Below are 14493 nucleotides of genomic sequence, written 5' to 3' on the forward strand. Positions count from 1 at the left end.
TTCTAAACTCACAGTGCTGCTGCTGGCTGCCTGAGCTTGTGTGGCTTTGGACAGATGACTTAACCACTCTGTGAAGATGGTATCTGATGCACAGGAAATGCTCCAACGTTGGCTCTTGTCGTCATCTGTGCCCATGTCTCCCTCAGCAGCCTCCTGACTGGCCTTCTCCAGTCTCCTGGTTTGGATTGAGGCTCCCTAGACCCTACCTTTCTGAGACTGGTATCTAGTCAGGTTACTCTGGGAGATCTCCACCCCCCACTGCCCAGAGAGCAGGTTCTGAGCTCTTCAGTCTCTCCACCTTCTGGCCCCGGCTGACACCATCCCTGCCACTTCTCCTGGGGTCCCCAAACATCTGTGGTACTTTTGTCTTTCTTGCCCTTGGTGTTCCCACTCTGCAGAACAACCTTCTCTCCAGGTCACCACTGATCGCAATCGCGCTCTCCTTTCAAGGCCCAGATCAGGTGTCACCTGACCTTTGCTGTCCTCAGATCACACCTCCCTGTAGCGACTGGCTCGCCAGTGTCCCTCTCTGACCGAGCTGTGCACTCCTCCAGGGCAGCACTGTCAGGGTCTCCCCCAGACCCTTGGTTGTGATTCTCTCTCCTTGTCCTGAATCTCAGTTTTCCTGATACATGGGATGCTACCTGAAGGCAGGTTTCAACTTTCAATCTTTTTTTTTGTTTTTTGGGTGAGATGGAGTCTTGCTCTGTTGGTCAGGCTGGAGTGCAGTAGCGCCATCTCGGCTTACTGCAGCCTCCGCCTCCTGGGTTCAAGGGATTCTCGTGCTTCAGCCTCCTGAGTAGCTGGGACCACAGGGGCCTACCACCACACCTGGCTAATTTTTGTATTTTTAGTAGAGACGGGGTTTTGCCATGTTGACCAGGCTGGTATCAAGCTCCTGGCCTCAAGTGATCCACCCACCTCAGCCTCCCAAAGTGTTGGGATTACAGGCGTGAGCCACCGCTCCTGGCCTGGAGGATTTCAGATTTAAAGCAAAGAGGATATTTTCCAACAAAGCAACTGCTTTTCTTTTTTCTTTTTAAATTTTGTTTATTTATTTTTAATAAAGATGGGATCTTGCATCTTGCCCAGGCTGGTCTCAAACTTCTGGCCTCAAGTGATCTGCCTGCCTCAGCCTCCCGAAGTGCTGGGATTACGGGTGTGAGCTACCATGCCCTGTCTCTTTTTTTGTTTGTTTTTTTTCCAAATTGAAACAGGGTCTCACTATGTTGCCCAGGCTGGATTGAACTCCTGGCCTCAAGCAGTCCTCTCGCCTTGGCCTCCCAAAGTGTTGAGATTAGAGGTGTGAGCCACCATACCTGGCCCTGTAGAGGGGAGGCATTGATGAAGGTCAAGAAGTCCTGTTAGCTCTGCCTTCAGAATCTACCCCAGGTCCTTTTAGTTCTCTCCAGCCTCACTGCTGGAACCCTCACCCAAGCCACCACCTTGCAGTCCACACACGGCCACTGGGATTGGGGCGGCGTTCTCCGCGCGAAATCTGGCTGTGCTCCTCCCCCATGAGGCCCTCCAAAGGCTTCCTCTTCTTAGGATGAAACCCACACTGCCAGCCGAAGCTCCTCAGGCTCCCACCCTCTACAAGCTCCTTCTGCTCCAGCCACACTCACCAGGCCCGAGTTCCCACCTAGCACCTTCCCTGGGAATGATCTCCCCCTGGTTGGCTCTTTCTACTTATTCAGCCTCAAATGTCATCTCCACTGAGAGGCCTTTCCTGACCTGCTGAGCTTGATTCCCTCCCCTCCCCAGTCACATTACTCCGTGTTATGGTACCCATCCCTGTCTCCTTAGCTTGTTTTTGTCTGTATTGGCTCTTCCACTAGACTGTAAGTTGCATGAGGGCAGGGATGTCTGTTTAATCCCAGTGCTCAGGATAGTGTATGGCTCGTGATAGATGCCTAGTACATTTTAAAATGAGAACGAATGAAGTTTGGGAGAGGCTCAGAGCAGTGAGTCTCCCCCTTGTTGGGGGACTGGGGAGTGCCTGGGAGGGGCTATCTGGTGCCAGCGGTTTGGAGTGGCTGGGATGACTCTGGAATCCTGTGAGGCCCAGTCAGTTTCTTTGGTTCTCATGCAGTGCAGTGCCCTCAGACCTAACCATTTTGTTCCGTGCTGGCTTGAAAGGGTCTGCCTCCCTCCCAGTGCAGCCCCTGCCTCTCCTCTTTCTCGCCCCCCGCCCTCCTCCAGAGAAAGCAGGTGGTGAGGGCTCTCTAACCCAGACAGGACTTGCTGTTCAGCCCCAGCTTGAAATTGATTTCCTCCAGCCCTCCTTGAGCCAGGCCCCGTGAACAGAGGAGGGGTCTGAGCCAGGCCTCCTAGGCCATTGGTGGGAGGGAGAATGAGACAGCCATTTGGCCCACAGGCCACCAACTTTTCCCCCCCTTCTCTAAAAGACACACAATGGCAGTTGGGCTGCACCTTTGTGAGTCACCGGTGATAGCCCATCATAAATTGTTATTTCCTATATTTCCAGAGCAGCTTTATCGGGCGTTGCCTGTGCAGTCCGGGAACCGATTTGGTATGGGGTCAGTTAACATGCTGTCTTGTTGAAATCTGTCATCATGCCCATATAAGGCAAACTCCTTGGATTACTTTTTACCTTGGCAGAATCACAGGAATGTCAAGGTAACCAGGCCACCTCAGCATAGCTCTGATTCTCACCCGGTCACCTGACTTGCCCGCCCTCCCCCATGACTCACCCAGTGGCTCAGCATGGGGCCTGCTGCACTGTGGCTGCTGGAATCTGCCAAGGACCTCCTGGGACTGCCCTTGGTTTTGTGTCTTCCTTAGAGTAGATCAAATGAGAGGAACCATGTGAAGTAGCTCACACAGGGCCTAACAGAGCAAACACAAGACGTGGAAAGCAGACTTGGTGAGGCTTGAGTTTAGTTTGGGGGTTGCGGGGGTCCCAGCTCTGCTGCTTAACAGCCCTGTGGCCATGGGTATATCCCCCAGCATTCAGAGCCTTATCTGTAAAATTAGAGCACGCAGAACAAACCCTGGTACACACTAAGTGCTCAATAAATGTGAGTCATTTGTGTAATTATAGTAGGGTAGGCCTTATGCCCCACCCAGTCATAAAAATGCCTCTTGCTGTTGTTGGTTCAGGCTCAGCCCCTTAGTGGCTTTCATGGGGCAGGTTGACATGGTACCCAGAGTCCTCCTCGGTCCTCTTCCCATGGTGTAGTGAGAGCACTCAGGACCACCTAGGCCTTTCCTAGAAAACTGAACCCACACCTTCCCAGTGCTGCCCCACCCTGGTCCCCCACCCCCTGCAGGACAAACCACTCCTCCCTTGTTTTGGGGCCAGGAGTCAGATCTGCCCCTGAGAGCAGCAGGGGCCCCTTTGTCCTTTGACGTCATACCCACACCGCTCCTGGAGACAGCCACCCCTTCATGCCAGCCCCAGGAAGGCTTGTAGGTGGGGCGAGCCAGGGTGAGAGTGTAGCCCTGTTCCTCGGCCAGGGCAGATGTTTCACCATTTTTAATGGAGCAATTATGAGTCAGAGGTTTCAGTCTCTACTGGTTCCTCCCGATCCTATAATTACTCTTTGGCTATAGAATCCTATTTTGATCTCTTCTTTTCTTTTCTCTTCTTTCTCTCTCTGTGGTCATGGTCAGGTTTTTCTTTTTTTAAATCCTCCCAAGACACTGCTAATGTTGTCTGTCTCATGCATCCAAGGAATCTGAGATGGACTGAATATTGTCAAGGGAAAAAAAAAGAGACCCCCAAATCCAGAGTGATTTCTTAACCCACCCAAATGGCTTTTTGTTTGTTTGTTTGTTTGTTTGAGACGGAATCTCGCTCTTTAGCCAGGGTGGAAGGCAGTGGCGTGATCTCAGCTCACTGCAACCTCTGCCTCCTGGGTTCAAGCGATTCTCCTGCCTCAGACTCCCAAGTAGCTGTGATTACAGGCACATGCCACCAAGCCCAGCTAATTTTTGTATTTTTAGTAGAGATAGGGTTTCACCATGTTGACCGGGATGGTCTCGAACTCCTGACCTCGTGATCCACCCACCTTGGCCTCCCAAAGTGCTAGGATTACAGGTGTGAGCCACCGTGCTTGGCCAACCCACCCAAATTGTGTACCCTACACCATCCTAGTGCTTGGGAGCCAACACCCACTCACAGGAGGCTAAGGGCAAGTTTAGGTAACTCTTAACACCACGAATTAGTTGCCTGCTGGCAAACTTCAAACTCCAAGCCTGAAATTTCTGGTTGGAGTCACCTCCCAGATGGACTCAGGGATTCATTCACCCCCTCATCCAGTGCTCACGGAGCCTCTGTGAGGTGCAGGCCTGGAGAGGAGCCCTGTGGCCTCAGCAAAGGGCAGGCAGGCTGGTGAGCACCCAACCTCTGGATCGAGGGGACTCAATTATGCGGATAAAGGCCCCTAATCCTCTCAGTGCTCCAAACTCACTCTGCTTCTGAAAGGGATCTTCGTACCCTGGGTTCAGAGAGTAGGAAGCCCGCAGGGACCGAGTATGCATGAAACAAGCCCAAGTCTGTGGGGGCTGTACATGGTCAAGATCACAGATTTCCAGACCAAGCCAGCTCCACCCTAGCTGGGATGCCCACCCTGAGACACCCCTCTCTGCTTTCACTGGAATAGGATGGCCCTGACTTGGCCGGGTGGACTGTTGAATCAGAGCCTCTCAAAACAGGAAAAAGGAAAAGGATCACCAAGCAGGAGTTTCAGTTGTCAAAGACAAAACCCTTACCACGATTAAAGATTACTCCAGGGCCTCGCATATTCACCCTTCCACCAGCAGGGCCCAGTTTACGGATCATTTGAATACTAGCAAAAAAACAAGCCATCTGCTGGAGAGATTGAACAGAGGGAGAAACAGGAGTGTTTGCCCTGCTTCCAGACACCCCTTTCCTGTGGCAGTTCCTGCACCTGGCAAGATCTACTGGGGAATTCCCGGGGTCCCACTAGCTCAGGACGGGTGTGTAGCACTTGCCTAAATAACAATCCCATCAGTGCCCTGTCTGACCTTTTCTCCCCAAATGCCAAAGGCCTCTTGTCTGGATGAACAAATCCCTGGGCGGATTTGTCCAGACTAAAACGTTAATTCTAAAGACTGGGCCCCTTAGGCACTCGCTAAGATTCCAGGCCACACTGTCTCAAGGCCAGAATTGGCTTACTTGGCTATCTTTTTGAAAGATCAAAGTTTAAACCAGATGATCTGTAGTCCCCCACCCCCACCCTGAAACCTGAGCTTAGCTGTAAGCATTGAAAGTAAATGGGGTGTTTGTAGCTCACCCTCCCTGTTCTCCAGGTGAAGGGCCCCGTGTGCCTGATCATTTCATAGCAAAATGCTAGATGGGGCCAGAGGAGGCCCCAGCCTCTGCTGCTGCCCTAATTTTAAAACTGCCTTTTGGGAGTGTAAGTTTCCTCTGTTAAAGGTAGTTATTTCAAGGTAGGCCTCACCATCTCCTCCTCCTGGTGAGAAGCTCTGCCTGGAGGGCTGAGCACTGCCTCCCGCTCTGTGGGCCCCACCTGCCTTGGGTTGAGACCTATCTCTTCCTGGACTCTGTGTGGGGAGTGCAGGCTCTTCCCCTTGGGGAGAACCCAGTTCTTTGACGTATAATCTGAGTGGTTTGGGTTGGTTGGTTGGTTGGTTGGTTGGTTTCCCATGTGTGGGATGGCTCCGGAAGTCTGTTTGAGAACAGAGGCAGGCTCAGATGGGAGCAGCTCCTACCCCGGGCCGCCTATCCCCCTTTACCCTGGGGTTTCTTTTAGCTCCAAGCATCCATTCCAGTCTAACAAATCTGGTGGCAGAGTCTCTTTTTTTTTTTTTTTTGAGACAGAGTCTCACTCTGTTGCCCAGGCTGGAGTACAGTGGCACAATCTCGGCTCACTGCAGCCTCCGCCTCCTGGGCTCAAGCGATTCTCTTGCCTCAGCCTCCTGAGTATCTGGGATTACAGGCGTGTGCCACCACGTCTGGCTAATTTTTCTGTATTATTAGTAGAGACGGCTGGTCTCTACTAATAGTTCAAGACGGCTGGTCTTGAACTCCTGACCTCAAATGATCCACCTGCCTCAGCCCCCCCAAAGTGCTGGGATTACAGGCGTGAGCCCCTGCACCCAGCCCCTCTGGTTCTACTGAGACCTCAGATCTTTCATTTATGGAACAAGGGGGTTGGATTAGATTGTTCGCTCTCAGCCCTCACTTCATGTTAGACTCACTAGGTGGACTTTGTCAAATGTCATTGCCCAGGGCCCACCTTGAGGGAATCTGTCTCATTTTGCCTGTGGTGAAATTCAGGTATTTTTAAAAAGCTCCCAGGTCCCATACATCTATTGTCAATTGATTTTCAACAAGGGTGCAGGACCATTCAATGGGGGAAAGAATAGTGTTTTCAACAAATAGTGCAGGAACAACTATTAATAGATACCCATCTGCAAAGAATGAAGTTGAACCTTTACCTCACACCATATACAAAAATTAACTCCAAACGGATCAGATACCTAAATGTAAGAGCTAAAACTGTAAAACTCTTAGAAGAAAACACAAGTGTAAATCTCATGACCTTGGGTTAGGCAATGGTTATTAGATATGACAGCAGAAACACAACCGAAGAAAAATAGATAAATCAGACTGTTTCAAAACTGGAAACTTTTTGCTTCAAAGGACACTATTAAAGTAAAAGGACAACCCGCAGAATATTTACAAATTGTATATCTGATAAGGGTCTACTGTCCAAAATGTATAAAGGACTCTTAAATTCAACAGTAAAAAGACACACCAGTTAAAAATGGGCAAAGGATTCAAATAGACACTTCTCCAAAGAAGATCTACAAATGGTCAATAAGCACATGAAAAGGTGTTCGATGTCATTACTAATTAGGGCAAATCAAAACCATAACCACTACAAATGGTCAATAAGCACATGAAAAGGTGTTCAATGTCATTACTAATTAGGGCAAATCAAAACCATAACGTGGTTGGGCCTGGTGGCTCATGTCCATAATTCCAACATTTTTGGAGGTAGAAGTGGGAGGATGGCTTGGGGCCACGAATTGGAGACCAGCCTGGGCATCATAGTGAGACCCTGCCTCTACAGAGAATTAAAATAAAAAATTAGGCCGGGTATGGTGGCTCATGCCTGTAATCCTAGCACTTTGGGAGGCCGAGGCGAGTGGATCACCTGAGGTCAGGAGTTTGAGACCAGCCTGGCAAACATGGTGAATGAAACCTTGTCTCTACCAAAAAAAAAAAAAAAAAAAAACCCACAAAAATTAGCTGGACATGGTGGTGGGCGCCTGTTGTCCCAGCTAGTGGGGAGGCTGAGGTGGGAGAATCGCTTGAACCTGGGTGGGAGAGGTTGCATTGAGCCGAGATCACGCCATTGCACTCCAGCCTGGGCAACAGGGTGAGACCCTGTCTCTAAATAATAATAAAAATGAGAAATTGGCCAGGTGTAGTAGCATATTCCTGGGAGGCTGAGGTGGGCAGATTGCTTGAGCCCAGGAGTTCAAGGCTGCAGTGAGCTATGATGACACCACTGTACTCCAGCCTGGGCAACAGAGTAAGACCCCAACCCTAAAACAAAAAAAAACAGAAAACCACAATGAGATACCACTGCACACCCACCATGATGGCTATAATCAGAAAGTCAGATAATAAGTATTGACTAGGATGGGAGAAATCAGAACCCTCACATTGCTGGTCAAAGTGTAATGTGGTGCAGCTTCTTGGGAAAACAGTCTGGCAGTTCCTCAAAATTTAAACATGTTTTGTATTTTTAGTAGAGACGGGGTTTCACCATGTCACCCAGGCTGGTCTTGTCTCAGCCTCCCAAAGTGTTGGAATTACAGGCATGAGCCACCACGCCCAGCCAAGTTCCTCAAATTTTTAAATATAAGAGGTATCATATGACTCAGCAATTTTACTCCTAGGTATATGCCCAAGGCAGTTGAAAACATGTCCACATAAAACTTGTACATGAATATTCACGGTGGTGCTAATATCCAAAAGATAGAAGCAACACAAATAATGCCCATCAGCCAATGAATTGATAAATAAAATGTGGTATATCCATACAATGGAATGTTATTCAGACAGGAACGAAGTACTGGTACATGCTACAACATGGCTGAACCTTGAAAACATGCTAAGGAGAAGCCAAACTCAAAGATCATATACCATATGGTTCCACTTATATGAAATGCCCAGAATAGGTAAATTGCAAGAGACGAAAGAAAGGTAGGTTAGTGGTTGCCAGGGGCTGGGGGCTGGGTAGGAGGGAAGTGGGGTTGGAGAGTAACTGTACCAGTTTTGCGGTGGTAGACATGTTCCTTGTATTTTTGGTTTTTTGTTTTGTTTTGTTGTTTTGAGATAAGGTCTCACTGTCGCCCAGGCTAGAGTGCAGTGGCGCTGTCATAGCTCACTGTAGCCTCGAATTCCCAGGCTTAAGTGTTCCTCCCACCTCAGCCTTCTGAGTAGCTGGGACTACAGGCAAGAGTCACCATACCCAGTTAATTTTTAATTTTTTTTTTCTTTTTCTTTGAGATGGAGTCTCGCTCTGTTGCCCAGGCTGGAGTGCAGTGGCGCGATCTTGGCTCATTGCAACCTTTGCCTCCCGGGTTCAAGCGATTCTCCTGCCTCAGTCTCCTGAGTAGCTGGAACTACAGGCGTGCGCCACCATGCCCGGCTACTTTTTGTATTATTAGTTAGAGACGAGGTTTCACCATGTTGGCCATGAGAGACAGGACTAGCTGGATTTCCTAGGCCGACTAAGAATTGCTAAGCCTAGCTGGGGAAGGTGATCGCACCCACCTTTAAACACCGGGCTTGTAACTCAGCTCACACCTGACCAATCAGGCAGTAAAGAGGGCTCATTAAAATACCAATTAGGTTAAAAGCAGGAGGTAAAGAAATAGTCAAATCATCTATCATCTGAGAGCACAGGAGGAGGGACAATGATTGGGATATAAACCCCAGGCATTTGAGGCGGGAGTGGGCCACCCCCTTTGGTTCCCCTCCCACTGTATGGAAGCTCTGTTTTCACTCTATTAAATCTTGCAACTGCACACTCTTCTGGTCCACGTTTGTTTTGGCTTGAGCTGAGCTTTCGCTCACCATCCTTCACTGCTGTTCACCGCCATCACAGACCCACTGTTGACTTCCACCCCTCCGGATCCAGCAGGGTGTCTGCTGCATTTCTGATCCAGCGAGGCGCCCATTGCTGCTCATTCGGGCTAGAGGCTCGCCATTGTTCCTGTGCGGCTCAGTGCTCGAGTTTGTCCTAATCGAGCTAAACACTAGTCGCTGGGTTCCATGGTTCTCTTCCATGACCCACGGCTTCTAATAGAGCTATAACACTCACTGCATGGCCCAAGGTTCAATTCCTTGGAATCCGTGAGGCCAAGAATGTTAGGTCAGAGAACAAAAGGCTTGCTGCCATCTTGGGAGCAGCCACTACCAACTTGGGAGCTCTAAGAACAAAGACCCACCGGTAACAGCCAGGCTGGTCTTGAACTCCTGACCTCGTGATCTGCCCGCCTTGGCCTCCCAAAGTGCTGGGATTACAGGCGTGAGCCACCTTGCCTAGCCTTGTTCTGGAATTAGTGGTGATTGTTGCACGATCTTGTGAATATACTAAAACTCCCTGAATTTTATGTAAAAGGGTGAATTTTTTGGTATGTTATGTGAATTACATTTCAATTTTTAAAAATTGATTCTCCAAATTATGTACATATTTAAAGAGTACATGAAAGAGAGGGAGAGAAAGAAAAGCTGGATGCGAGATGCCGCAACCTGATTCCACTCACTCCTAGATTTGTTGAGTACCTGCTATGTGAAAGGTACCAGTCCAGGCAGTGGGTTCCCACAGCAAACAGAACCCTCCTCTGGGGAGCTTATGCTGCACTTGGGAGGGAGACTGGTTATGAACAAAGAACATAGTTTTTGATGATGAAAAGTGCAGTGAGTAAAACAATGCAGTGTGAGGCCGGGTGTGTTGGCTCACGCCTGTAATTCCAGCACTTTGGGAGGCCGAGGTGGGCGGATCACCTGAGGTTGGGAGTTCGAGACTAGCCTGACCAACATGGAGAAACTCCGTCTCTACTAAAAATAAAAAATTAGCCAGGCCTGTAATCCCAGCTACTCGGGAGGCTGAGGCCAGAGAATAGCTTGAACTCAGGAGGCAGAAGTTGCGTTGAGCTGAGATCATGCCATTGCACTCCAGCCTGGGCAACAAAAGTGAAACTCCGTCTCAAAAAAAAAAAAACAAAAAAAACAAAAAAAAAAACCCAACAACGCAGAGTGGAGTGATAGCCTAGGGGAGATGACAGAGTCCAGGAAGGCCTCCTGGGTTGCTGACATTTGAGGCAAGTCCTGAGTGATGAGACAAAACCAGCTCTATAAAGAGCTAGACGAAAGTCTTAGACCAGTATTTCTCATGAGGAGGAGACAGCACTCCAAAATCCATCCTTTGGCCTGGCGCGGTGGCTCACGCCTGTAATCCCAGCACTTTGGGAGGCTGAGGCGGGTGGATTACCTGAGATCAGGAGTTCGAGACCAGCCTGGCCAACATGGCAGAAACCCGTCTCTACTGAAAATATAAAAATTAGCCGGGTGTGATGGTGGGTGCCTGTAATGCCAGCTACTCGGGAGGCTGAGGCAGGAGAATCACTTGAACCCGGGAGGTGGAGGCTGCAGTGAGCCGAGATCATGCCACCGCACTCCAACCTGGCGACACAGCGAGACTCTGTCTCAAAACAAACAAACAAACAAAATCCGTCCTTTGCAGCAGCAACACGCACGCTTTCTGGCACCTCAAAGGGGATTGTCCAAGACTGGAACACTGGCTGCAGGGAGGGGGCCGGGTGCAAAGAGCTGGTTTCTGGGTGGACACGCAGGACCTTTGGAATGCTCGCTACCCCACTCAGCAGTATTTATACCTCTTCTCCAACTGCGAAGTCAGAGCTTTTTCATGCAGGCTGAGAAAACTCCGAATAAGGCAACTTCAGGCCAGGACATAAGACGCATTCCATATTTCACTGTAATTGCTTTCAAATTAGGTTATGTCGTCATGTAACAGGCACACACAGTGCACTTGCTTTGCCCCTGGCTGGGGTTGGGTCCTGGACAGGCTGCCCCGTGTGTCGCTGAACTGCCGCAGTGCTAGCCCTGATTGCCTGGGCAGTAGGGCTGTCTGCGTCCCACGTTGCTGCACCCATCTAATTTGTGGCTGTGTTATTGTGACCTGCTCGTTTTCTGTTCTTTCAACCTGCTTCCTGGCTTTTATCTCCTTCAGAATCTGGTGGCAGTGGATCTTCAAAAAGTGCTCAGGTGTGCAGTCTCACAGGCCAGAGGCTCCACGGGCCCCCTTGCCAGGGCGAGCATCTCTGCCTGTGCCGCTGGTAACCCAGATTCCAGAAGGCTTAGCCGTCTGGCCCTGAAAGCGCCTTTATAGTTGGTGATGAAGCCCATGGGCTGGGGAGCCGTTTCTGCTTTCAGGAACTGAAAAGATGCCCCAGTGGGGCTAGGCCTTGCCTGAGGTCTGGCAATAGCCTGCCAGATGGGTGATAAGAAGGCCTACCCAGGTGATAAGCCTACCCAGGAATAAATAGCTGTACCTCCCCTGTGTCCAAGCCCTGGACACCCTTCCCTAGGACCCATGGAAGCAGGAACCATGGGCAGCGTCAGAGGCCACAGCAGGCAAGGTGGAAGTTCAGGAGGTGGGACGGCGCCCTCCCCCTCAAAGCAACTGATGCCCCAGCGGAGCGACAAACCCTACACGGTATTTCAGAGCCAAGGTTTGAAAACTCCCAGGGTGCTAGGGAGCTCCGTCTGGCCTCCGGGTACCTGGGGTTGGGGCTGGCTGTGGCCAGTTGCAGTCAACCCTGAGCCTGGGCAAAATGCATGCAGGCTGGTCCTCCTGGGTGATATCCTGCTAGGCGGGTGGGCAGTGTACACGGCAGAAGAGGGTTGCGGCATGAGGCAGCAAACGTTTTTTTCTAAAATCTTGTCAAGCGTGGGGTCCGTGGAATCCACATGTGAGCATCAGCCTGGTGGGTGGGGAGAGTGAAGCCTGCGATCCAGTCTGGATCATGTGCTACACAGTGCAGAGCCGGCATGCTCACCCCTCCTGAGGGATCGCTCGAGCCTATTTCTAGGCCCAAAGCGACTTTGCAAGAGACTCCCTTTATTCTGGGCTTAGTGGAATTCCAGCTTCCAACAGCCATTTCCCTCCACCCCCTTCAGTTCTGAGAACATGTTTTGTAACAGGAAGGCAGGAAGAAAAGAGAAGGCGAGTTTGTTCAGCTGGGTCAGCCGCATCCCACCAAGGCCCTTTCTTCCCTCCAGCTCACCATCGCTCTGCCCACTGGAACCACTCGGTTGCCCTGTGTCTGCCGAATGTTTGTTTCTTAATCAGCGCCCCAGAGTAGAGAGGGCTTTGCCTCTTCGGGTTGAGGGAGGGAATCATTGATGAATGGCTCATTAAAGCCCACTGCTGCCACATTCCTGGGTGCTTAGGTCACCTCCTGAACAATATCCATCATTCATTCACCTACCGCCCCACATCCTGGCGGCTGGGAGGGGTCCCTGTGACGCAGGAAGGACTTTATGACCAGAGATGCTAGGTCTCCGTCTCCCTCCTGCAGCCCACAGTGACAAAGCAGAAACTGCTCTTGGGGCCCCCTGAAGCCCGCCTTAGCTGGGTCACCATGGGCCTTGGCACACGGAGGGGTGACAGTGGATCCCAACTCAACTGACAAGCTTGCCTTTCTCTGTTCTTCCACCCCCCTTCCCCGCACTCACACCCTGTGCTATTTTAGCAACCAGAGAAGCCTCTTTAATAGGCTGCCCGTGTGCAGGGGCAAGCTCTGAAGCCTCCTCTCTGTGGTTTGGTTCACATGTGTTCTCAAAGACAGATGAGTCCACATCCTTCCTTCCTCCCTAGATAGGTCAAGGGCTGGGTGCAGGCTGCCTTCACAGGAGGGCCAGGGACAGGCTGGGAGGAGCGGGGCCACCTTTTGCGAAGCGGGTGATCTGCTGGGGCGTTGCTCTGCCTGCCTGCCTTGTTCTCTGAGTTTACCTCTAGCTTGGGGACCAAGGGTGGGCTGGGGCCTTCTTTTTTTTTTTTTGAAACCGAGTCTTACTCTGTCTCCCAGGCTGGAGTGCAGTGGCGCGATCTTGGCTCACTGCAACCTCTACCTCCCAGGTTCAAGCGATTCTCCTGTCTCAGCTTCCCGAGTAGCTGGGTTTATAGGAGCCCGCCACCACGCCCAGGTAATTTTTGTATTTTTAGTAGAGACGAGGTTTCACCATGTTGGCCAGGCTGGTCTTGAACTCCTGACCTCAAGTGATCCGCCCGCCTCGGCCTCCCAAAGTGCTGGGATTACAGGTGCGAGCCACTGCGCCCGGCCCTGGCTGGGGGCTTCTTGACCTGACTCTGCTGTCTCTCCCTCACTGGCCAGCACCTCCCATTCTACTCAGACATCGTGGAATGAATGCCCACCCCGTGTTTGTATGTATCATCTGTGTCTGTGTGACATTAAGCAAGTCACTGAACCTCTCCCTGCCTCAGTTTCCTCATCAAATGGAGATATATCGCATGTGATCATGGGGTTGGAGGTTTTAAAGAGTTGCTAATGTGTAAATAGTAAGAACTAGCAATTAGCCGTTATAGCATAATTACCTTTAATATGTCATGCCCCCCGCACCCCCGTGCTGAATGTAATTTTGCGGGGGGGCGGGTTGAGACAGGGTCTGGCTCTGTCACCGAGGCTGGAGTGCACTAACACAATCTCAGCTTACTGCAACCTCTGCCTCTCAGGCACAAGCTGTCTTCCCACCTCAGCCTCTCGAGTAGCTGGGACTACAGGCGCTCAGTACCACGCCTGGCTAATTTTTGTAGTTTTTGTAGAGATGGGGTTTTGCCATGTTGCCTAGGCTGATCTCAAACTCCTGTGCTAAAGCAATCCTCCCGCCTCGGCCTCCTAAAGTGCTGGGATTACATGGTGTGTGCCACCATGCCTGGCTGGCCAGAATGTAAATGATAACTGTTTTGCTTCCTCCTGTGTCCAGTACATAATAGGGCTCCAAGTCAGTATTTGTGAGGCAGGTGCATGCCTCTTAGTTGCGGTCCTGAGGGCATGGCCACTGCCACGTTCTGGACAGTCAGAGTCGCTGCTGCCCCTGGAAGATGACCGCGATCATGAAGCCCAGGAGAGCTCGATGCTTTTTGCCTTTCCCTCCTCCCACAGAGGGCTGGCAGCTCTGGTTCCTCCCAAATGAAATAGAAACCTTGAGTTTGCATTTCTTCTTTGGCGTGCCGGCAGGGCACCTCTGCCTTCCTCTTCCTGCCAGGGGGAGGAAGTTTCTCTCAGGGGCTCTTCACCCTGCTTTATTCCTGGCCATCACACATTGACCCTTGTCCCCTTCGGCTCTTTCCCTGCATGGCAGGGACAGCATGACCGTTTAATGGCTTTGTGAGGCCAGCATGCCAGCCTCACTTC

General features: G+C 50.9%; 1 protein-coding gene across 7 annotated transcripts in view, besides 6 other annotated features; it reads left to right on the plus strand.

The window, feature by feature from the left end:
* Positions 1–14493, plus strand: part of ACTN4 (actinin alpha 4) — an 83941-nt gene that overhangs the window by 33510 nt on the left and 35938 nt on the right. The window contains exon 1 of one of the 7 annotated variants that reach the window (NM_001440299.1): positions 12963–13264. The exons of the other annotated variants lie outside the window; for them this stretch is intronic. The gene's annotated coding sequence lies outside the window, so the exon portion shown is untranslated. Of the gene's footprint in view, positions 1–12962; positions 13265–14493 lie in introns of those variants that run through there. 7 annotated transcript variants of the gene reach the window in all.
* Positions 2181–2964: an enhancer, noted in NCBI's record as "NANOG-H3K27ac-H3K4me1 hESC enhancer chr19:39173979-39174762 (GRCh37/hg19 assembly coordinates)". NCBI's record gives its function as "activates a minimal SCP1, AML or CMV promoter by ChIP-STARR-seq in primed H9 embryonic stem cells {active_cell/tissue: H9 hESC(primed)}" and the evidence as "EXISTENCE:reporter gene assay evidence [ECO:0000049][PMID:30033119]".
* Positions 3508–3647: an enhancer, noted in NCBI's record as "active region_14589". NCBI's record gives its function as "activates an Ori minimal core promoter by ATAC-STARR-seq in GM12878 lymphoblastoid cells {active_cell/tissue: GM12878}" and the evidence as "EXISTENCE:reporter gene assay evidence [ECO:0000049][PMID:35858748]".
* Positions 4818–4877: an enhancer, noted in NCBI's record as "active region_14590". NCBI's record gives its function as "activates an Ori minimal core promoter by ATAC-STARR-seq in GM12878 lymphoblastoid cells {active_cell/tissue: GM12878}" and the evidence as "EXISTENCE:reporter gene assay evidence [ECO:0000049][PMID:35858748]".
* Positions 12561–13152: an enhancer, noted in NCBI's record as "H3K27ac-H3K4me1 hESC enhancer chr19:39184359-39184950 (GRCh37/hg19 assembly coordinates)". NCBI's record gives its function as "activates a minimal SCP1, AML or CMV promoter by ChIP-STARR-seq in primed H9 embryonic stem cells {active_cell/tissue: H9 hESC(primed)}" and the evidence as "EXISTENCE:reporter gene assay evidence [ECO:0000049][PMID:30033119]".
* Positions 12561–13181: a biological region, named in NCBI's record as "H3K27ac-H3K4me1 hESC enhancer GRCh37_chr19:39184359-39184950".
* Positions 13122–13181: an enhancer, noted in NCBI's record as "active region_14591". NCBI's record gives its function as "activates an Ori minimal core promoter by ATAC-STARR-seq in GM12878 lymphoblastoid cells {active_cell/tissue: GM12878}" and the evidence as "EXISTENCE:reporter gene assay evidence [ECO:0000049][PMID:35858748]".

The sequence above is a fragment of the Homo sapiens genome, chromosome 19 (genome assembly GCF_000001405.40).
Source record: "Homo sapiens chromosome 19, GRCh38.p14 Primary Assembly".
In the NCBI taxonomy this organism is placed as follows: domain Eukaryota; kingdom Metazoa; phylum Chordata; class Mammalia; order Primates; family Hominidae; genus Homo; species Homo sapiens.